We start from the raw sequence: 24,981 nt of genomic DNA, 5'->3' as shown, positions 1-24,981 counted from the left end.
TTAGAGAGGGAAGTATATAGCAACTTTAGTTGACATCTGTCATTCTTTGTGGTATCTAGCTACTGAACCTTTTCCTGTGTGTGTGAAATCCACCAACTTTTGAGGCAAAGCACACATCCAACTTTAGAAGTAGAAATTGCTAGATAATTGCTTTCTGTGTTTGTCTTTTACATTGAGTTCAGGCAGAGGATATAGGGCAATCAGATAAGCACATTCAAACTTTTGAATCTGAAGGGAATGACCAAGTAGATAGATATGGTTGCAATGGGGTCAGCTAAACTTATTTTCTAAAGTTGTCCATGGGTATAGCTTCATTAAAAGCATCCACTTTTTAAGTATTGATGATAGCAGGGAAACATTCTTAATATCTGTAATAAATCAGTTTAGCAGCATAATTTTGAATATTTTTCTCCAAAAGGCATGACTTCTAGATATGTTTCTCAAGCCCTGCCATAGATTGTGGGTTTCTCAATATCCTTCTAATGAAATCCATTTCTGCCAAATGATTCAGGTTTCTGGTTCCTATTACTTATACCTAAGAATCTATTACTTGTACCTAAGAACCTTGACTGGTATACTAGACTAAGAGGTTCAAATTTTGTACAGTTGAAATCAACAATAATTGAAATAATTTTAACTGGAAAGTATGTTGATTAGAGATGTGAATTAGAAAGATTAACCTAGAAACAATTTGTAATCATCACAGAAGCCAAGAAAGTCTTGAGGTAGTAAGACAAGAACACGATAGAAGGCAAAATGTATAGTCAGTTCACAGAAAAAGCAATGCAAATTACTTATAAGCATACAAATAGATGTTCAATCTTATTTACAAAAAACAAAATGCAAATTAAAACAATAAGGGAATAGATTGGAAAATATTAAGGAATGATAACATAAAAGTTAGGAGAATGTGGGGAAATAGCATCTTCATACAATACTAGTTAACAAATACCTTGCTTTAGCTAATTTGGAGATAATTTAGAAATCTCTGCACATGCATGTTTTTTTGAACAATACACATAAAACCATGATATAGAGAAAATGGGCTATTAGTGGTGGAAGAGAACTTTAAATTTAATTATAATTTATTTGTATTATGAGTAAAAATTATTTTGATAACCAAAAAAAATAAGAGAAAAATGTTGAGGCCATAACTGAACAGAAGAACACCTTGAATAGGAAAAATAAAGAATTTTTAGAAAATGACAATATCAAGATACAACTCAGACTCCAAGAGAAAATTACTCTAGGAAATGACTGGATATATGAATTAAAGAACAGAGAGAAGTAAAATGATTTTTAGGCATGTAGAGCCCAGGTGATTGGAAAAAATAGGATTGTCATAAACAAACAAGAGAAATTAGAAAAAGAAATGTATTGTAATTGATAAAATGAATATTGTTTAGAATGTGCTATGTTTAAGGGATCTATTAGAATGTTCAGCTAGATATCCCAATGGACCATTATAGTTTGCAGACTAGATAAGTCAAGAGATATCATGGTTCAGATTTAGGAAGTAGGTGTGATTGTATCTGTGGGATTACCAAAGAAGAGAGACCAAATCAGAAAAGAAGTGTGACTTTCGAACCTAGGGACAGTGGAAAAACAGGAAAAGTCAGTAAAGAAATGGGCAGGAGCAGCTTGTGTGTAAAGAAGCAGAATACAATACCTTTATTGGTCACAGGGATGATAGTTTTAAAAAGACAGTCAGCTGTGTGGATAGTTACAGAGAACAGATAAAGTTTCCTATTGAGAAAGGGCCACTTGATTTTGTGATTGGATGGCTATCTTTCAGTTAAGCTGTAGTAGATACCTGATTGCAAACAATCTCAATGTACAAGTCAATGAAATTAGCAAGAAACACTTTTTTGAGAGGTTAGTCACAAAAAGAAAAGGAGAGAGAAAGGAAGGTAACTTAACTCAAAGATTATGAGCATTAAAATAAAACTCCGCAAAGACTAAATGGCCTATCTCTTGTGCATGTGTTAGATATGGTGCTCTGCATTCAAATGTTAGTCTGTTTTTGGCAATAAGTAAACACACAGGAAGCCATGTGGAAGATAGATTTTAATAGATGGGAAATAGTACTACTTGTTGTTTGCTTAACTGAATCACTGTACTCTAAAATTCTAAATCTCGAGATGCTTGAGAGTAGTCCTGAGTGACACAGGTTAGATGCTTCTTCCACTATGATGAACCAGAAACCAAAGAGCGGTAGAGAGTTGGACATTCCAGTGAGAGTCCTCAGCAGGGAAATATTAAATCTAAAGTATAAATCCTCATTTTCTCTTTGTAATATAATATGTGTACCCTTACTGGAGCTGTGGTTATGTCTTCTAGCTTGCTCTCAGTTGTGCTACAATAAATTAAGAGAAGGGTTCTGTGTTTTCCTTTGGTTGAAATATTGGCAGAGGAGCATTACTCTGCTGAGTTCTGCATCTTGGGCAAGTACTATAGTTTAACTCCATAGCTGCCCTTTCCTCCAGTCAATTTGCCCAGCAGTGATTAATATCTAAGATACTTCCAAAAGAGAAAGTGATACAGGAGGTAGAAAGAAACTATTTAGGCAGAAAGTGAGGGCAAAGAGTCCTCAGCAGAACTTCCCTTCTAACAAAAAGCGGCCCAAGAAATCACTTATTTTCTAACAGAAAGCAGCCTGGAAGATCAAGCTGCAAACAAAGATAAGGAGGTCTGTAACAAAGAGCTGTTCTCTTTCTTTCTCCTATTATATTTCTGCTCTAAACCTCACCCTTGGTGTGTCCGCATCCTTGATTTCCTTGACGGTGAGACCAAGAACTCTGGGTGTCACTCCAAACAATGAGGCTGCTTCAAAAGGACTCTTACAAACAAGGGTTGAGGCCGGGCGTGGTGGCTGAAGTCCTAGCTGTAATCCTAGCACTTTGGGAGGCCGAGGCAGTGAGATCACCTGAGGTCGGGAGTTCAAGACCAACCTGGCCAAGATAATGAAACCCCATCTCTACTGAAAATAAAAAATAAAAAAATAGCCAGGCATAGTGGTGTGTGCCTGTAATCCCAGCTACTTGGGAGGCTGAGGAAAAAGAATTGCTTGAATATGGGAGGCGGAAGTTGTAGTGAGCTGAGATTGCATGACTACACCCCAGCATAGGTGAACATAGCAAGACTCCATCTCATAAAAAAAAAAAAAAAGAAAAAGAAAAGAAAAGAAATAAGGGTTGAGACTCTGAAGCCTAAAAGCCTCTCCTCCATATGAAAAATCCTCCCACTATTGCCTTGGAATACTTGAATTTGTTGTCTTTTATATTCTTGACTGGTACCTACAGAATTGTAAAAAATCTGATAAATTTTACGAGTGTAGGGAGATCTAATATATTTATTGACAACTAAAGAAACCACTAGAAAAACACTGGAGGGGATATGCTGAATTTAAGAAGACAGTAAACTTTCATTTTTAAGTGAGAAAATTTTTCTGTAATTTTTATTTCCAAACAGGTAAGATAATATTTTTAACTATGTTTAACCATTTTGAAGACATCAAAAGACAGTCACCTTATAATTAGAGTTATAGTATATGAAATTAACTGGTAAAGAGTTTTGTACTAAGATTTATTAAGGGGGCATTAATATTTTCCTAATTCAGTAATATATTACTTACAGAGTTTACAGATTTGATCAGCTTCATCAAACAACTGGACAATTCCTTAGAAGAAAAAGTAATCTATCAAATCAGTCAATTGTAGCCCTATCAATCAAAAAATTGGCAATTTGCCTGAATTCTCAATGTCTCCTTTTGACATTATACAGGCATAACCACTTTCAATAACATTTTATACTTATTCAAGAAAACAGTTTTACTACAATTTTTAGTTCCTAATTCTAACCACTTCCCACAAGAATACCTGAAATCAAATCAGATAAGAATAAAGAGGATTTCCTTTTTAAAAAATATTTATTTTCTAACTAATGACTCCTTGTATACAGGAAATAGCTATTTAAAATGCCATCTTTATGAATATTCAATTTAATTCCGATAAAGTTTTCCCATTAGGACAAGTGAAGAGAATGCTGACTATACCATAAGAAACACATAAAAACTACTTTTTGAGGGATACCATATGTAAAGAGTGAATGTTAACAAGCAGTTGGTTAGCTAGTATTTTTTTCCTGTCAAAGTGATATACTTTTTATATCTCATGTATTTAGTATTCTCATGTAGTCCTTAAAATGACTGCAGCAAGAAAGCTTTGAATGCTAATTTACCAAAGACAGGAATACACATTTATATCTACGGCACTTTAAAAGTACATTATCCCCCCCTATACTGACACATTATAATGATGTCAAGGTCCTGAAAAAAGAGCATGGCATTAACAAGATGGAAGGCTAACTTAATGGAAGTTCCATTGATAAAATGCCATCCTCACAAAGCTAGTAATTGTTCTTTAGCTATTATACTCTTACCAAAGAAGCAATATATCAGATGCCTGCTCATCTAGACATAACTCTAAAAGATTCCGAGACACTGTAAGTTGTATATCACTAAACTGGGAACATTAAAAGCAACTAACTTATTCATTAATTATTGTGTCTTACTGACTAGGGTCAAGAATTATGACAGACAATTTAATCATTAAAAATCTCATGTGTAGTTATTTGAAAATGTTGTTTTCTTTTAAAATGAAATAAACTCCTAAAAAAATAAAATAAAAAAATCTACCTTCCATGCACAGATAATAATCATATAGTGTAGGACTGTAAAGTTCTTAAGATTATGTTTGTGTTTTATTATAAGTTTCTATTTCCTCAAATGGAGCTAAATGTAATTATGCAGCATAAAATTATAGAAGCTCATCATAATGGCAAACAAATTAGCTTCCATATGAACATATTTCACTTCAAATTTAAATTAAAGCTTTAAAATTGAAAAAATGTAATTTTGATATTTTAATTTACATTATCTACATTACCATTATTCAGGTTCTTGTAGACCATCTTGCTGTTACTCTCCTTCCCTGGGTGGGTCACTGAGCTACTGACGCTAGCTTTCATGCTATCATTTGTTCCAAAAATCTTGTCCATGGTTATTTTATTCAGTGACAAAGAACTATATATTATAGAATCCTAGAAACTAAGATTTGCTCAATATGGTAAAAATGTCTCTATGTTCCCTGTGTCCCCCTACACACACCCTAAATTTAGAATTCGCTGCTGAGTATCCCATAGTAGATTGTATGATTTCTGAGAATTTACAGTCATTCACCACAACAAGTCATTCCATCAAGGAAGGGAGAAAGGAAAGAACCATAAAATGATGAAATTTACTTGAATCTCCTGGACCAATGAGCTCTTCTTTAGCCACTTTACTAGTATTTATTCATTTCATAACTATTGTTCAAACTTCTATATAACACAGTAGGAGAGGCACAAATGCAATTTGTCTTAGGTAGTTTATCTGATAAGCGAACCCTGAGTCAAAGGTCTAAGGAAAATAAACTGTGGGGAGCAGAAAGGAAGGGAAAGAACCAAGCAAAGCTGCAATTTCAGGTGAAGAAGCAGCCTCAGCCTGTCCCTACTGCTGGAGGCTCTGGAGTGGTCACTTTTCAGACAAGGGAACTTGTATTTCCTCCCTTCTTCTCCCAAGAACCACTTAGTCACTGGCTTCTGGCCTGGCTACATCTGGGGAAAGTAGAGTCCCAGGCATTTGCAAGAGAACCATGGCAACTTCAAACACCCAGGACATTTTCTGAAGGTCTCAGAAACACACATAGACACCGGGGGATCATTCCCATAGCTCTGCTAAAGGAATATCTTTAGGTATCAGGAGGGGGCACACATGGTGTCAGCTATATGATTCTAATAAGAAACAGTACTTCTCCTAAGAGGATTTTATAGTGGGTTTAAATTTGAGGAGTAAGCCAAAACATAAAAAGCTCTTTTTTGTCTCTTTGTTTGTTTGTAGTTAGGACTACTGCTGAACTAATACAAGTTGATCCCACAAAAGGCAAGCCTATACCGAGTGGCTTACAAATGGATGATATCTGGCCTGTGGCAAACTCTGTTTCATACTTGCTAACACTTGTCCTTAACATTACCCAAATATATTTTCCTTTTTTAAGATTTCTCCATAAATGTATATGGATAAGAGCCATTTTGGAACCATATATGCAAAACCCATATGGCTAAAGGCTGCTAAAAGCCTTGAAGATTATCCTGAGAAGTTCTGCAGTTAGTTTTATATTCACTGCACTCAGTGTTATTTTTGTAATTATAAAATTAAGGGAGAGTAAATGGAAACAGTTAAAAGGCATTATGACTACCTCTTAATTAGTATGTTTTAAATGAATTTGAATCTTTGCAATTAGATCCCAGGTTATTTCAGTAATTTCATGGGAAATAAATGACAAAAGAAGAAATGTTCTCTGATATTTGAGGTTTTTTTTTTTTCAAAAGCTGTTCAAATAGAAGTTTTATCCAACTATCTAAGCATCCATCTGCTGGACATATAATAATTGAGATTATATGCAATCACAGCAGAGATCCACTGTAAGACATTAAGTTATTTACTAGTCTCTATATCTTGACTTCTGTCCTGATTACATTAAAATACTACAGTGTAAAAGGCACTTTAATAAAAGCTTGGTGGTATTTGTACTCAGGCCAAACAATTCTCTTAAGACCATAAAGTCTTTAAAGAAACATTTTGAGGAACTGGGAAAGTTTACTTTTCTCTTACATATGGAAATATAGAAGAGGTTAAGGGTGACATTAGCATACACAAAACATGCCCTCATTTTTAGAATAATGAAGCTTAATTATGATAAAGAAATGTCTATGCTGAAATATTTGAATATCTAGAAAGTTATTTACCCTATGGAATTTTCTTTTGTAGTTTTAAAACAAAGTACCAGTTGAATTCAGGTTTAGTCACTATTAATGCATGTGTTTACAGCTAGCTATCAGAAAGCAAGAGTTTTCTTACAAAGATGAGTGGCAAGAAAGTTTGAGTATTGAGTATTGTAGGGTAAATCACCTGATAGCAATAATGTAAGCATACCTTTAGAATGATCTTGTACGGCAGATGCACTTGAACATGTGTTCTGAGATAGGGAATCCTGGAATGGCCAACACATAGATTCATTCCTTGTCTATGAGGAACATCTGAGCCCCTGTCCTGTCCTATGGAACATGGGTTGTACAGAGGATTCAGGTTCTGAGTTTTGGGTTAAATTAAGGTTGCCAAGTAGAGGAAGAGGTTAGGGGGAAGAAGTTAAGTGAAAATGCTATATAAACTGCATGATGATTGCAAGTGGTTGTGGTTCTGCTGCCCAGCTCGCCACTGGACTGTAGGAAGGCAGATATGTTATCTGGCCTGCCGCAACCGAACTGTTTCTGTACATAAGGGGTTTTCCTGTCTAGCCTACCGACACTAGTCTCAATCTCCTGTATGTACACCCCTTACAAAACCCCACGTCTTGTTTGCTGGCTCTGGGTCTCTTCTTTGGCCTCTTGTACCTCTTGAACCCAGTGCCTTCCCTATTGAGGTGAATAGGGGTTCAGCACAACTAATATATATAGCATTTTTACATATACTAGCAATATATTAAAAAGGTGGATTGAATTGATCCCTCAGGCAGTTCTCATCATTAACACAGTGAATGACGATGTCTGGGAAAAGCAACCTACAGTCATCCTATAATGCTTATTTCATTTCAGAGCCAATAAACCCAATTTCTGAAATCACGGTGCTATGTCATTCATTCGCTAAAATTTAAACAGCTTTGTAAGATAAAGTGTGCAGGCCTCCACCCCACCCAGTTTACCTAAGTGTGTGAAAGTGAAGTGGGTAATGAGAGCAATTAGATATACAACCTGAACAATGCCATTAGGCTCATTGTAGAGTTGTTTTGCTGTGCATCTCACTTACATAAAAATAGACCTACAAGCAACATCACCAAATAATATTGGTGATTATATGCAAATTATTAAGTAGGCAATAACTGGGCTCACTTCATATTAGTATCTTACAGAAAGCAAGCAACCTAGACCTGGAGCTGAGAGTTCTTCAAACCGTTCTTGAGCTTAGCAGAAAGCAAATCAACTAAATCTTTAAACTTACAAATACTTAATTCTTTTATGCAGCACTTCTCTCTACATTTTGCAAAATACCACAGCAGGCAAGTGATTGAGATTCAAACGTTTTACTCCTTCGAAGATGTTCTGATTTTTAGGAACACTAAGGTGATGTAAATAACCTCTCCTTATGTTTATTGATTTATTCCCTTTTAAAACAACTGCACTATGCTAATCATTCCATGTAATTATCACTCCCTCTGTAATTATGCATATCTTGCTCCCAAAACCTTGACTTCTTCACTGAATGAAGTATTAGGCTGAGGCAGTATAAAAGGAAGGCTATTGTTAATAAACATTCTAAGGTGAATGTATAGGCTTTTATATAACTTAATATATACAATGAGCCATAATAAATTCTAATTAATGTTAGATAGAGGAGTGATTAGAAATCGTAGATATTTAAACAATTTTGACCTATAAAAATTTTGACAATTTCCTATATGCCAATGCAAGTCGTATTTGACACTCTCTAGGAAACAAAACTGGCCAGTCTCACTGTATCTAGGCTTCTCAGTGTCCTCGGTCTGTTTAGAATATAGACCTAATAATATTATTTTCATTATTATTATTAACAATAGCAATGCTTTATGGAATGCTATGCTGTGCTTGATACTGCCCAAGAGCTTTAAATAGATTTTCTAATTTTATTCTTAATACATTCATACTGACAGACTAAATATACAACTGAACAATCATCAGATCATATATGAAATAAAACTGTGACCCACAAACTCTGCAGCAACCAGCCCAGGAAGCAAACAACAACTTTAACAACAACTGGATACAATCAGAACTTGATAAAGGGATTTCAGCTTAACTATTTTTTTGTCCTACTTACAACTCAGGATCAATCATAAACAGTTAATCTTTTTAAATCAGTTACATAAGTTCCCCTGCTTCTAGTTAGTCCACTGTCAGCTTCCTCATGCCAATGCCTCCAATCAAGGCATGTCTGAAGCCTTCCTCATTTTCACTATAGAACTTTCCTCTCTACCTGCCTTGACTCTCAAAGGCAAGTGATGGTGGCTGACTCTCATTCTCTAAACAAGCTCTGAATAAAAAGAGTCTCTTTGCTCTCTTCAGGGTGCTTATCTTTGAAGATAAGGTAATAGTTTACTCTAAAGGCAAATTAGCCCCATAGTTTCATTATGACTCCTAGGATTCTGTCTCAGTGATGCAAAAGGAGGCAATGCTTCAGAAGCCCTTGGCTGTTTTTTGCAATCCGACTGCCCTGCACTAGTAGGATCCAGGGGGTGTTGCTCACATGTAATCAAAGCCTCCTCTAAAGCTCTATGGTTCCCCTGCTCTGTTGCCTGCTGCTCTTGCTGACTTTCTGCTGATAGCTCACAGCTTACGCCCTGCACATCAGTCAGAGGCCCATCCTCCTCACTTCACCCAGCAGGGAATCAGCCAATGCTTCTGTAATATTGACAAATAAAATACAAGACTCCAGTTAAGGTTAAATCTTAATTTCAGATAAGCAATTCATTGTTTTTAGTATATTCCATGCAATATTTGAGATACACTAAATAAGGATTCATTGTTTATCTGAAACTTAAATTTAACAGGTTAATCAGAGTATATACTCTCTTTCTGTGTGTGTATATATAGTGTGTATCTATTACACATGTATAAGTATATACATATGTTTTGGTGTATATATATGTGTACATATGTCTTATTATATAAATGTATATATAAGTATATACATACATTATAAGTATATACATATTTCAGTGTACAATTTTGTAGATATATGTACACTAAAATATGTGTATACTTCTATTACACTAAAATGTATACAAAAATATATTTATACTAAAATATATATACATAGCGTAATAATTTTTTAGGACAATTGTATCCTATGCAATATTTGGAACATACTTATACTAGAAGAAGAATTATTCATTATTTAACTGAAATTCAAATTTAACCCAAAGTTCTTTTGGGTTTTTTGGGGTTTTGCTTTTTTGCTAAATCCACAACCCCTATTCCTGTGTGTGATTATGTGAAAGATACAGTACATAGCACACATTTTTGCCAACCACCCTCTTTTTCCTAGTGTGTACCAATAACTCAGGAGAGAACAGACCTACCAATGGTAGAAGGGGTTGGAGTGAGAAAGGGTTACAAACATAGCTTCACAGTGCAACTGGAATCTAGTCCCTTCTGTATGCTCTGGTACATTTTGTTAGATGTTTATATCACTCATCCCATAGAAAGTCTAGTTGTTCATTTTACTCTGGCTTCCATCATGGGTGCCGCATTTCTCAAAAATGTCTATCTGTGCCTGATTCCCCAACTGTGGATCACGTTCAATTTTTTTTTTCATTGAGCTCATAGACCATGTTTCTGCGTTCTGATTTAAGTATGGCTGACCATTCTATGACATTTGAAACAAAGAGAATCTCTATGGAAAATTACTCTTTAACTCCATGAAGTGATCTTAATTTAGTTCTAATCTAGCTGTAATGAAAAAACATACCAAAGAAGGAAAGGAACGGATGGTAATTGGGTCCACGGTCAAGGATTTCCTATTGCAAGGGCAGTAGAGTAAAAATGGATTGTTAAGGCAAAATAAAAAAAACACGTGAGCGTGTGTGTGTGTGTGTGTGTGTGTGTGTGCGCACGTGCGTAAGTGGGGTGAAGAGATGCACAATTATGGAGAAAATTAGTAACAGGTTTTTCTACCCAATAACAGTTTTGTTGTAAAGTTAGAATGACAGCTAAGCCAGCTAAATCATGATAGGCACCAGATATTGTAATAGAGAAGTTTGTACTTTATTTTGTGATTATGAGGCTTAATTGTAGATTTAAAGTGGTGGTTGAGAAGCAGACCATCATAATAATGCTTTAGGAAGTGTATTCACTTCTCCTATGTAGGATAGGTTGAAGTAGAGAGGGATTTCCATAGCAGGGAGACCACTTGGAAAGCTGTCATCATAATACAGAAGAAATTATGAACACCAAAACATAGTTAGGAATGATACAGAAGGAAATAAGAGACAAAATGAGAAAGTAAAAGTTGACACTCAGCTTGGAGCCTGGGTAACTTGGAGAATACTGGCATTATTTATAAGATTTAGAGAGACAGAAAAAGGCACTTGTTTTGGAAAGATAATGACTTTTTGAAAAAAGAAGCATGGCGAATCTTTGACGTTTCAGGAGGGAGTCATCTGAATTGAAGTGTTCTATCAGCAGTATAGGACATGGAGATAGTATAAAAGACACCAGAGCTACAGTTAAGAATTACAGGTGATCTAAAATTTTGTGATCAAGATGTCAATTTTCCACTGATAAGTAAAGAACTGGGGATAAAGTACTAAATCTTTGGAAATATCCATACATATGGGGGCAAAGCAGGAGAATCAATTAAATGGTCCGGAGATGATGCAGTCAGTGCTGCTTCTGTGTGTACAAGATCTGTGCTGGAATACAGTACACATGCTTTTAAGGGCCTTAACCCCTAGGTCACGGTTAGGGTTAGGACACCAGTTCTCAGATTCAAAAACCTAATTTATCCCAAGTGGAAGAAGTAAAGAAGCCAAACAGTTAAACATTAATAAAACATTAATAAAAAACATTTATGACCTCACTAGTAACAGGTTTCTTAACTATATGGCAAACAACACTGTAAGAGGAAATAGTAATAATTTTAATTACATTAAAAATAAACCATATGGAAAGTAAGACCATTCTTCGAAAGATATCAAAGATATTTTCACAACAAACCCCCAATCTGGAAGGTACATACCCACATAAAATTGACAGAGTAGTATCCATAACATACTTATTAGCATACTTACTAATTAAGAAAAAGATAACTGAATTTAAAAATGGGATATATAATAAACGTAATTTTTCAGAAGCAAAAGAAAAACAACAGATAACTTTAAAATTAAGAGATAAAAATTAAATCTAAGTTCAGATATTATTTTACACTCATGAGATTGACCAAAGTAGAAGTTTGACAGTGTAAAGGATTACTGAAGATGAAATGCAATGAAAATAATTATATACTGCTGGTGAAAATACAATCTAGTAATTCACCTCTTAAGAACAGATACTAGAAAACTCTTGTACACATGAACCAGAGGACATGTATAAGAATGTTTTCAGGCCTGGTGCAGTGGCTCACACCTGTAGTTCTAGCACTTTTGGAGGCCAAAGTAGGTGGAGTGCTTGAGCCCAGGAGTTTGAGACAAGCCAGGGCAAAATACTAAAACCCTGTCTCTACAAAAATAGAATGAAAAAATGTTTTCAGCAGTATTACTTATAGTACAAAAGTCTGAAAATCATTCAAACATCTAGTAAGTTTAGAAAAAATAAATTGTTATACACATTGCTGGGAGATGATTATAGGTCTTTTGCTTTTCTGTACACTTTGCGAAGGAGACGCTGAAAACCCTTTTTTCTGGACTATAATTTCAAGAACCTTCGTATAGTCAGCAGCTTTGAAATATGCAGTGTCTCACCCTGGAGCAAAGGGCAGATCTGCTTATAGCCATGAAAGAGATATGTACTGCCTTCCCCGAGAGCAAAAGGCCGATCTGTTTATTGTGGAGTAAAATGATGTCTCCCTGTCCAGGTTAAAGCAGGCATGCTGGTTTCCCATTATAAAAGATTTGTGTTTCATAATTTCAGGGTTTCCTTCTGGTAGCACAATCCACTATGCATGCAGGTGCCTATGGCCCTCTTCTTGTCACCCTCTGGAAATTGAAGCTCAGAGTACCAGAAAAATACATTAACACACACGTTGCTTATTATGCCATGAGTAATAAAGTTCTTTGTCTCTGACCCAGGAGTTTTGTGTATTCTAGGAGCATTCATGAACTGAGATATGCCAACTGATTACAAGTAGGCTAAAATCTCAGACCTTTCAGACTTCTTGATAGCTGAACAATAAATTAAGTAATAAGATATAATCTACTCTAGGTATATTCATCTACATGGATGAATCATAAAACACTTGATTGAGCCAAAAAATTAAGGCAAAGTCACTGATATGACTGTTATGATGATGCCAGAAACACCTTGGCCTAATGTGCTAACTTTAAAACTGATTGCACAGTGCATTTCCTCTGAATTTTTCATGTTTGATTCCTCTGTTTCATTAACTTCCCACATCAGAATCATCAGGAATTGCCCTTGCTTCCATCTTGAGAATGTGTCCTGACTGTGATCACTTTTTACCACCTCTTCCTTGATTACTTTAATCCAAACTACCACTTTTATTTTACCTGAAATTCTGCAATAATCTCTTAAGCTATCTCCATCTTCTGTTCTTGATCACAGCCAGTCTATCCCCACACAGCAGCCAGTGAGGTCCTTTTTAACTATAGTGTTGTCATGCCACTCCTTTTTCCCATGAAGTCCAGGAGCTGTCCCTGGCACTATTGTCATACTAGACCCCTGTTGACTTGGTATGTACAGTACCATGTTGGAGAGGCCAAAGAAGGGACCTGGAGCCAGTGAACAAGACATAGGGTTTAATAATTAGACTTACACACAGGGCAATCCAGTGGTGGTGGGCTGGACAGTAGAACTGCTACTGTTAATAAAACGCATGCAGGTAATATCGCATTTTCACTTAGCACTCTCCCTCCTTACTTCCACCTGGCAACCTTCACTTAACCCAAAACAAAAAGCTTTGAACTCTATATAGCTGGGATTCTGCTGGATGGGCCATGGATGCAAATACTCCAGTTGTCTACTACCAGATTCCTTAGCTCACTACTGTCAATTTGAAATCATCAGATATTTTTAATATCTCCTCCTCTGACCATTAGTTTTTGTTGTTACTGTTGTGTTGTCTGTTTTATTTTTGTTATTGTTCTTCCTTTAAAGCAAACTCCTATTAACATTATTTGATTATTATTAAATATGATTACTTAGCTTGAACAACTTACACAATTTAGCCAAATTTTATGAAGAATTCAAATTGCTTCTTAGAGGTATATGAGTTTAACCAAAAAATACCTGCGTTCCTTATAGATTTTCAAATTTGAACAGGCTTAATTCACCTTCTGAAGAAACTGCTGTGAATTCAGCATAACAATCTAACCTCCTTTTTCAGGCTCCCAGGTTAACTAGAGCTAAGTGAACTAATAAGATGGGAGGGAGTTCTCCCACTTTCCTCCTGTACCCAGTCTACCTTAGACTTCTCTGTGTTTCCTTTTTCACTTTCTGTTTTTCCTTCTCTCTGCTTCCATGAGTTAGTGATCATCAACTGTCAGAGAAGTTAAGTGCCAGGATTTTTCACAAATGCAACAAAGTGCAGGTACAAGCTTTGCCTCTGGGACCACAGAGATCCAAAATGTATTTGAGATAGATACCAAAATTAGAAATGGAGACCAACTGATTACAAGTTTGTGCTTCATAATTTCAGGGTTTCCTTCTGGTAGCACAATCCACTATGCATGCAGGTGCCTATGGCCTATTTGTGATTGTAGGTGAGATAACACAGATCAGGAAACATAAGTGAGCCAGAAAACAGGTAAATAAACAGATACAGGGCCTGACCAGAGGTCATGCCTGAATTGCTTCCCTTTTTTGTTCCTCACCCAATACAAAGTCAGCATTCAAACAAAAATCCTTAGTACTTGATTTTTTATTTCCAACAATATTGTAAATTTCTATAAAAATATGAAGTAATGATGATAACATTGTTAAAACACTTGTAATTGGCTTAGGGTTATTAGAGAGCACAGAAAAATTGAAAATCTACTGTAGCAGTAATACACAAAAATGTTTCTACATGTATGTACTGAATTGCCTTGAACTCTGTCATTGTGTCTACAACGGAAATATTATTCATGGTGTTACAGATGTCCTCAGAGTGCTTTTACTCCATGGAGGAAATTGTGCTCATATCTTATCAGCAGAAAATAGTATTTGTGTAAAAATATAAGACTGTTACATTGAATGTGTTTCTTGCTTTGCTTTGACATTCAGGGAACTTCAAGCCAAATTTCATTGTCATTTAATGGCAAGTGAGAGATACTAATGTTATTGATCTCAGTGTGTTTATCTTGCCTTTATTCTTTCTAGAATAAATTGAAAATAAATTCAGAAGTAACTGTTTAGAAATTTATTACAGATATATTTTATAGTTCTACCACTGAGATATAACCAATTTTTCTTTCAGTATTTTAGCACATGAGTGTCTTTCATTCAAATACATAGGCCATTCATTGGTATAAATTATCAAGGGTGGTATTTAATTCCCAACTGAGTCTAATTTTTAAATTCTCCCATCTTAAATAATCAAAAAATAGGGTGATACCTCCAACTCCAATGCTCAGTATTCTGTCCAATTGCTCCCTCTTTCTGCCCCATTTCGACTCTGCTCTTATCATAAATTTCATTCTCTAAGTGCATTTCCAGATTGAGAGTTCTGGTATCCAAGGCTTAGATGACCTTATTTATTATCATTTTATCCCACAGCATCTCTGATAACAAGCATAGGTTTCTCCAGTATTGTCCACGGTACAGAGTCATAATCATCATCTTCAAACACTTTATCAAGTTTTGGCACAGCCTGGGGTGAAAACAACAATGTTAAAAGGAACATGTGAAAGGTCAAGAGAAAAGAAAGATATTTAAGATACTAAAAAATGGTTGAAATTTGTGCTGGTGACACTGGAAGAATAGCACACCAGACTCTAGTACAGTTGTAGAGAGTTAAAGTTAACTAGTTTATGCCCATAAGCATTCTTAGCATATAGGGAAAAGAAAAGAAAGGGGAAACACATATTTAAGTAAGTTTGAACCTAACACTACACTTCTGGACATGCTATCCATTTCTGGAGGATTGCTGTGGTTAGTAAATTCAAGAGTCAATTCTGACTTCTGGAAACCAAAGTGTTACTCAAGATTTAATCAAGTCTTACTGATTTCTCTTTCCTTCAAAGATAGGTTTTCCATAAATTGGAGGTTGTTGGTATGGGAGAAAGAAGAAAGTGAAGAACTTGGTGAAAGGCTGAGAGATTTCGAAAGACAGAAATCTGCAACTATCGAATAAACTTTTAAAAATCTTCTACCAGATTGATAGAGTTAAGATATTAATAATAGTATTCATACCTTGGCCTCACATAATTTGTATTAAAGATGGAGCTTTGTTTTAATGGCTTTAGTCACTTCATTTCTTTTGAAGTTTCATGACTTGGTTATTAATTCAGTTTTTAAAATATGAATAGTAAAAATGATCACTTTGCTGAATATGTCATTTTATATTGTCTATTAAATATACAAGATCAGCTATAAAGAAATGCTGCAAGCACAGGGTGTGAAAAGATATAGAAGAGTCCTAGTAACAGATTGCAATTATTTTAAACCTTTTCATGAAGATTTTACATGTTGACAAAGCAGTAATTACTGAAGCTATGTGTACAAGGTGAAGTGCATATGGAGTGGGACCAGTGAGAAAGAAGTTCAGGTGTGAAATCTCTCAGGCATTGAATTGTTGCGTACTAGGCAGGTCGTGGTGCTATGTGGGAAGAACAAATGAACACATTTTCAAAGCACAGCTGCCCCTCATTTGGATGCTGACTGGATACCTTCTGTCTCCTGGGTTTCTTTGTCCTTTGAAATATAATTTCTGGTCTTTTCTTCACTACATTAAGTAAGATTTGCATAAAGTCACAAACCAAAAAAGGAAATTTCTATGTTTTAAATATGTAACTTTTATATAAACAAGATATCCACTAGCTTCAAGTTTTTAACCTCAAATCAATTCAATAGTTTAGTTTTTAAGGTCTAGAATAAAATAAAAGCTAAAATGATTGCAAGAGAACCTACAAACAGTTTAAATGCATTTTAACTGAGTTGTCCATGAAATTCTGCCTGACTCATTCCTTGCTAGAAACCTTGGTAGGACCCTCTGTAGAGGCAAGAGAAAACCATTCCTGTGCAGGAAACTTCTGTAGAGGCAGTATACTGGTCTGTTTTCACACTGCTATAAAGATATTACCCGAGACTGGCTAATTTATAAAGTAAAGAGATTTAATTGACTTACAGTTCTGCACGGCTGAGGAGGCCTCAGGAAACTTACAATCATGGCTGAAGGGGAAACAGGCACATCTTACATGGTGGCAGGCAAAGGAGGAACTGTCAAACACTTATAAAGCCATCAGGTCTCTTGAGAACTCATTATCATGAGAGCAGCATGGGGGAATTCACCTCCTTGATCCAATCACCTCCCACCAGGTCCCTCCCTTGACACCTGGGGATTAGGGCATTACAGTTTGAGATGCGATTTAGGTGGGGACACAGAGCCAAACCATATCAGTCAGTAGAGTGTAGAGCTTAAAAGCTCAGTTGGATCCTAGCTTCAGTACTTAAAAGCAAACTGAGGTAAACTGTCTCTCAGTTTCCTCCTCTGCAAAATCAAAGGTAGAAAAAGTACCATATTATAGTATCCCTTTATTATAGGTATGTAGTAAAAATTGGGAAAGATGTCTGCCTAATAATCTGTACTACTGAAGTGTTTACTATTATTTTATTGCTTTCTTCCAAGATTGATATGTCTTTGAAATGGAAAAAATTATATGACCAGATTTATTCCAATCTATATTATCATATTTAAGAATAAAAATCATTCTGCTATTTTCTTAACTAAAGAATGCATAATTGCAATACAGTTGAGAAAGAAACTTACACTTCTTTGCAAAAACCTCAAAAATGGATTAAGTACAACAGTGTTTATGTAACCAAGTAAATAAACTAGAAAATAAATATAGAAAATCAAAAGACAGTATGCTTCAATAAATGCAGAGCTCTTATTTTTAATATAACACAATATTAATTTTTAAATTAGATATTAGGGTTTCAGGATTTAAATGATTTGAGTTAAATTATATACTTAGTATTCTTTTTCCTAAAGAACAAGTTTGAACCTCCTGACTACAGAATTAGTTCATCCAGTTATGACTTATTTTGTTTAATATGATGGTAATAATATGGCAGTATATTTCCCATCTTAGGTTATTGTCCTACATGTAATTTACATTCTTATTTAGTCAATTTTTAAAAATATATTAGGAAATTTCACACATGAGTATAAAAATTCCATTAAATTATATATAATATTCTACAGGTGTAGGTATCTGAGAATATCAAATATTTATTTATTGAGAAGTATTCCAATTCTTTAATAGTGTGTAATAAACCACCCAAACTTAGTGATATAGCACAAAAATAGAATCTGTGTGTCAGGAGTCTGCAAAGAATTCAGTGGGTTGGCTCATCTCTGTTCCACAATCTTTGAGATCTTAGCTGGAAAGACTGAAAGAGCTCGGAACATCTCAGAGAACTAGGGATCAGTATCATTGGAGGCTTCTTCACTCACATGTCTGATGCCTGGGCCAACATAACACGGAAGTTGGCTCAGCTGAGACTGTTGAATGTAATATGCCTACACCCCTTCATATAACTTAGGCTACTCAAAACATGGTGGTTGAGTTCCAAGAGAGCATCTAAAAAGGGAATGTCCAGAAAGCAAGGGTTCCAAGAGAGGAAGGCAGAAGGAAGCTGCAAGACTTTCTCTGACCTAACTTTGGAAGTATTCAGTGTCATATTTGCCCCATTCTATTGGTAACAAGTGAGTTTGGATGGCCAGGCAAGATGCAGGGCTGCAAAGGGAAGCAATCTGAGTCACTTGTTGGGGGAGTGGTAAGGTCACATGGCAGAAGAGCCTGTGGGATGACTGAAATTGGTGCAGCTATCTTTGCATAAAGAAAACCTGCCACAGGGATCATATAATCCATCATGTTACTAGGTTAGTTTTAGGTTGCATGATGTACACAGAATTTTAACACAGGTACACAAAAATAACAAGGTTAATATAAAAGAATTCATCTGTATCCAAAAAGTAGAAAACATATTTTCAAAAGGCTTCTGTGAAGAGCATCTCACAAAAGTTATGAAACTTAAAATTCATTCATGATACCTATTAATTATAAGAAATGATACCACTGAAATAGAAGCATCTTTAAAAATATTTTAAATATAGTAAAGGCTGCAGTACTATGAATTGAGCTATATTTTGTAAGCCATTTTTGATATGCAATAAATATTAACATACATGAATTATGATTATTTACAAATAAATTGTATTTAAGTGAATATGATAACATCAGTGTTTGCTGGAAACTCAAATTATTTTGGAGAAATTAAATTTATAAATAAGTAAATATAATACAGAACAGGAAATACTTCAATTAGATGTGTCATCCAAGCACTTTCAGAAGAAAACGATTAAAATTACCAGGCAAGTTTGACCAAAGTTACAAGTTGAAAGCTATGAAAGCCTACATAAAACTAACATTATTTCATTAGCCTAAGTCAGTTATAGAAAAATAGACATTTATATACGATATATATGTACATTTCACTAGCTCAGATACATGAATGATATCAGGTAAAAATACTAATAATTTTTTTCTCCAGCCTTCTTCTTCTTTATAAAGACCAACGATGAATATCAGTTTTGTATGAGTTTTGAATCCATCCAAAAAACAGTTTTTGAATGTGTACTTGCTAGTTTCTGAGCAAAAAAATGAATAATTTCTGTTATTTTGTTTTAAAGAAATTAAGTGAAATAATTTGCTATTTCATTTGAGATTAAAAACACAAGCTGAATGTGCACTGCGCACAACTCCTTCTTCACTTCTGTTTCCTCACAAGAGAAAAATATTCATTTCAATTAATTTCTGCAGCTAATAGCTAAAAACAGAAAGAAGAGAAAGGACTTTGCAAAATAAATACTTTTTTCTCCTTTTAAATTCATTTTTTATGTTTTCAATATACACATATTCCTGATATGTTTTCAACATATTTCTGATATATTTTCAAATAGCTATGTTATGGATTTCAACATTTGAGAAACAATGTCTACAATCTCAATCAAATGTTAATATTTCCACTATTGATCATTTTTTAAGTAATATCATTTCTCAGTTGTGGTGTTCCTACCTTAAGACACCATGAAAATGTGTTTAAGAAAGACACTGAGAGGAAACAAAAACTTTATGCCAACTTGTGTTGTTTTTTTTTTCTGGTTTAGGAGATTTGTATTATTTACTTATTGATTTAAATTGGCACATTGTAATTGTACATATTTATGTGTTATAATTTGATATTTCAATACATATACATGTTATATGATCATATCAGATTACTTAGTATACCCATTACCTCATGCTTTATCATTGATTTGTGGTAAGAATATTCAAAGCCTCTCTTCTAGTTGTTTTGTAATATACAATAACTTGCTGTTATCCACCATCCTGCTGTGTAATAGAACACCAGAATTTATTCCACCTATTTAACTGTAACTTTGCATCCGTTGACATAAATGTCTCCATTGTCCCTTCCTCAGTCTCTGGTAACCACTGTTCTAACTCTGCTTTGATGATATCAACTCTTTTGTCATTGTCGTTGTTGTTTGTTTGTTTGTTATATTCCACGTGAGTGAGATCATGTGGTATTTGTCTTTCTGTGTCTGGTTTATTTCACTTAACATGATGTCCTGAAGGTCCATCCAAAAATGACAGGATTTTATTATTTATTTATTGCCGAATAGTATTCCATTAGGTATATACACTACAATTTCATCTAGTGTTGAACACTTAGTTTGAAGGGTTGATTTAATATCTTGGCTGTTGTAAATAGTGTTGCAATAAACATGGGAGTGCAGATCTCTTCAACATACTGATTTCATTTCCTTTGGATGTATACACAATATTGTTGAATCATATTAGTTCTAATTTCAATTTTTTGTGGAATCCCCATTCTGTTTTCCATAGTGGCTATATTAATTTACAATCTCACCAACAGTGTCGACTTGGTTTAATTCTTCCTAATGGACGCACCCTAAGAGCAACTGCATATTTTTCTTGTTTTTATGTAATCCACTTATAATCATTAATCTGCTCTGGACATATTGCACAGAATTTTCTCTTAAAAGTAGCAAATGAATCTTGGTGTCTAATATGGGTGTTCATGATTGACTGATACAATGTAATCCTGGGAAGGAATTTTCTAGTGCTGTCTCATTAACCAGATGACCTCCAGACATTGTCAGCACAACGTAGCCGAGGTGATTGATCACCAGAGAACAGAGGTTAGTGACTCTCCCCCAGGTATTAATGTATAGCATCTTCACTTACCCCCCTCTCAGGCTTTTCCAGTAAAAGATTGATTTATTATGCAGCTTCAGTGGGGATTTGTCAAACTCTTAATCAAGAAATCCTATATTGCCACAAGTAAATCAATGACACTTTCTGGTAAAATGACTTTTATGGCACATGAAAACATTACTGTATATGCAGGTACTATTCAGTAACAGCAAAATATATTCAGCCAGTGAGGCAGAGATGGACCAATGAAAGGGAAAAAACAATACACCCATTTGTTGACAAACAGATGCTATTGTAAAGAGTGCTTTTTGTTGTTTCCCATGATGAATAAACACAATTCAAAGCTCTTGGGTTCTCAGTAAAAGGAAGATAGAGGTGAAATGGCTAAGGAAGAAATACACCCTAAAGAGTGAATGTTTGAGGTGTATATATAGAGAATATGATGTGAAACAAAATTTCAGAGCCTGATTGTTTTTGATGATCCCTCCTGTTTAAATGCAAGTGACCCCAAAGACCAAGTGACTAGCAGGTGCTTCGTTGATTTCATTATATATTGTACTTTTGCTTGAATTCAATAAGCAATGTTATATTTTATGAAAGCGACTAGAATTCTCATTCTCTGCCAAACTATATACTAAATAATGTGGCTTCAGAAAAAAATGTAACTAATTCAAATTAAAGATATAAAAGTCGGGTTACCAACTAAAGTAGATAAAAACCTCTTCTGTCTGCCCTTTGATTCTAGGAGTATATTCCTCACTTCTGAAAATATGTTTTAAACTATATTCTCTTTAATGGATTGCACTGTATTCCCTAAAAGAAGACATGTTGGAATTCTAATTCCCAGTAACTCAAAATGCAAACTTATTTGGAAATACAATCTTTGCAGATTTAACAAAGTTAAGACATGGTAATTAGGCTGGACCCTAATCCAATATGATGGTCATCCTTATAAAAATGGAAAATTTGGACAGACACAAAGAGGGAACTTGGAGCAAAGATGGCCATGTGATGACAGAGGCAGAGACTGGACTTTGGCAGCTGCAAGCCAAGGAATGTCAAGAATTGCTGTCCATCACCAGAAGTTAGGAAGAGGCAAGGAAGGATTTTGCTCAGAGACTCAGGGGGAGCATGGCCTTGCTAATTCTGGACTTTTAGTTCTCAGAAATGTAAAAAAAAACAAAAAAAAAACACAAATTTCTGTTGTTTTAAGTCACCTATTTTATGCTACTTTGTTATGGTTGCTCTAGAAAACTAATGCCTTCTCTGTATCATGTATCCAGGCCAGCATTTTCCTGAACTGAGAAGATAGTTGCCACCTAGACTGGCTCGACATAGGCGGGTACTACTTCATGAGTCTGGAGAAATGGAAGACTCATTGCACTGAGCCTAGAGGTTTCATGCCATAGACAAGGCTATTTGTGTGTGAGCACCAAATGGATGAAACAAACACTGTAAGTTACTCTGTAAGAAGAAAATAGTCTCACCTCAATGAGGTGAGATGGTAAGAACATTATGTTAAACCAGTGAATATTGGCATGCCAAGCTTGTCATGAATAACCCAGACTTACATATCAAGGGCAACAACCTACATTTAAAGTAGAAAGGACCATTTCCCTTTACAAGAAACATTTTATTGTAATGTTCCTTTAAAGGATCCTCACTATTTTAGAAGAATAATTTGTTTTGAGGAATGGCAAGGACATCTGAGAATGACTTGTAGGATTTTATTCTTTAATATTTAATTCTTAAATATCTTATAAATATGTATATGATGACCATATGACACGGCCTCTTCTTGAAATAATGTATGTTAATCAAAATCTCCTACATATGATATAGGTTATATTTAGAGTTATCAGTACTAGCTTTTTATAGTTCCTAATGAATCTCTAGCAACTGCTACACTTTTGCTCCTAATATCACTTCACATCTAAATAATCTTATATTTAAGAATTTGCAAGTCTTTTTGCATCCAAGTACTTAGACCATTAATTTGTATACAACTACATGAATATTTAAAGATCCATTCAAACTAGAAATCAAGTGAATTAGATTTTCTCATGATACAAATTGAAATACCATATCAAAATGAGATGTTTTTATTTGGAAAGAATAGACTAATATGGGGGAAGAAGCAAATCAACATTTTATTAGTGACTTACTCTAAACTTATTAACAATAAATATAACTATTAACACAACAAAAAATTTATAAAATCAATCATTTTAAAGAAATTCCTACTTAATTCAATGTGAATTTCAGTGGATCTCATTTAAGCTAAGCCAACAATATCATCAAATAATCCAATTTAATTTTAACTATTATTTTAAAATTAAAACATAGTTCACCCTATCACACACACGCATACACTCACACATAATGTAAGAAAACAAGCAATAAAATGGACAGACTTTTCACAAGAAAAGTATGCTTTCAGATGCATATGAGAGAATGAACTAGAAGAAACTCGCTCTCCAATTTAGAGCCCCTAAAATGACCTTATTGATTTGCCTTGGGACAATCTCCTTCCAACACAGGTTTCTTTTCATTGAATGGATGTCCTTTGAAGTCAATTAAACTTGGGCATGGCACACCTAAGACTACAAGCACTTTTATAGCTGAAGGCAAAAAGTATTTGACGAGTGACATGGAAATCACACTCCTGATATGAAGCACTATTTTCAACCTTCAAGTATGTGGGAAATACAAAGTAAGTGTATTTGTTTGATATTTAAAATTGAGCTGTTTCAGAGCTTTGGAGAATAAATATACAAATTTAGCTGAGCTTTTCTTAACTTTTTTTAAGTGCAGGCCTACAGAACTTTATTCTGTTCCCAGTTGCCAGTTTTCTTATAAATGTGCGGCCTTGCCTACTATAGTGATCATGTGAGAGATTCAAGAGCAGATCAAAGACAATTCAACAACCACAGATGCTGGGAATGGCTAAATGTGGGTAATCTGGGTCATCTGTCAAAACGGGAAACTTAGATTTGGCTCAGTTATTTCAGAAATCTTTGATTGATACCAGGTTATTCCCATTTGATACATTTCTAAATCTAGTGGTGAATCTAAACTAGTAATTCAGAATAGCCCCCTTTGTGGTAGCACAGTCATTATTTTTCTTACATAATAATTTTGAGGAAAATCCTTATTCTGAGAAAGCTAGAAAATCTTTTTAAACATTCACCCAGGTTCACAATATGTAATTCATAATTAAAGGTTAAAAAGAGAAAAATTAATTTATACATGTTAACTTAGTTATATAAAACATAATGGTCTAAAGGCTTTACTTTAATACTTCCATTGCTATAAATTTCATAGGAACAGAAAGATTCTTTTACTTCCATTTATTTGTGAAAAACAGTATTTACCTATTTCCTTTAACTGTGAATAATACTCTCCCATTTCCTCTGTGAAATGAAAGCTACAGATAGTAAATTGCATATTCACTTTGGCTAATGGTCTAACTCTGTTCATACTGTGTTGCTTTTTCTCTTAGTAATGCTATCTTACATCCCTATGCTAATATTTAGTTTGAGAGTGAGTTTTAAAAAGAATTACCTGGGAGTTATAAATCTTAAGAATCTATGAGAAAATAATTCACCAATGAATTTACTTATTATTATGGAAGTACTTGGTTTTTCTCCATGTTCATATTAAATAAGAAAATATCATAAAAATCTTAGATACCCTCAAATGCATCAATATATAAATCTGAGAGTTC

At 34.6% G+C, this 24,981-nt stretch overlaps 2 annotated features.

The window, feature by feature from the left end:
* Positions 8,914 to 9,594: an enhancer, noted in NCBI's record as "NANOG hESC enhancer chr4:97181156-97181836 (GRCh37/hg19 assembly coordinates)". NCBI's record gives its function as "activates a minimal SCP1, AML or CMV promoter by ChIP-STARR-seq in naive H9 embryonic stem cells {active_cell/tissue: H9 hESC(naive)}" and the evidence as "EXISTENCE:reporter gene assay evidence [ECO:0000049][PMID:30033119]".
* Positions 17,017 to 17,550: an enhancer, noted in NCBI's record as "NANOG hESC enhancer chr4:97173200-97173733 (GRCh37/hg19 assembly coordinates)". NCBI's record gives its function as "activates a minimal SCP1, AML or CMV promoter by ChIP-STARR-seq in naive H9 embryonic stem cells {active_cell/tissue: H9 hESC(naive)}" and the evidence as "EXISTENCE:reporter gene assay evidence [ECO:0000049][PMID:30033119]".

Source organism: Homo sapiens, chromosome 4 (genome assembly GCF_000001405.40).
Source record: "Homo sapiens chromosome 4, GRCh38.p14 Primary Assembly".
Taxonomy (NCBI): domain Eukaryota; kingdom Metazoa; phylum Chordata; class Mammalia; order Primates; family Hominidae; genus Homo; species Homo sapiens.
The sequence above is the reverse complement of the archived record's forward strand: the minus strand, read 5'-3'. Positions and strand labels throughout refer to the sequence as shown.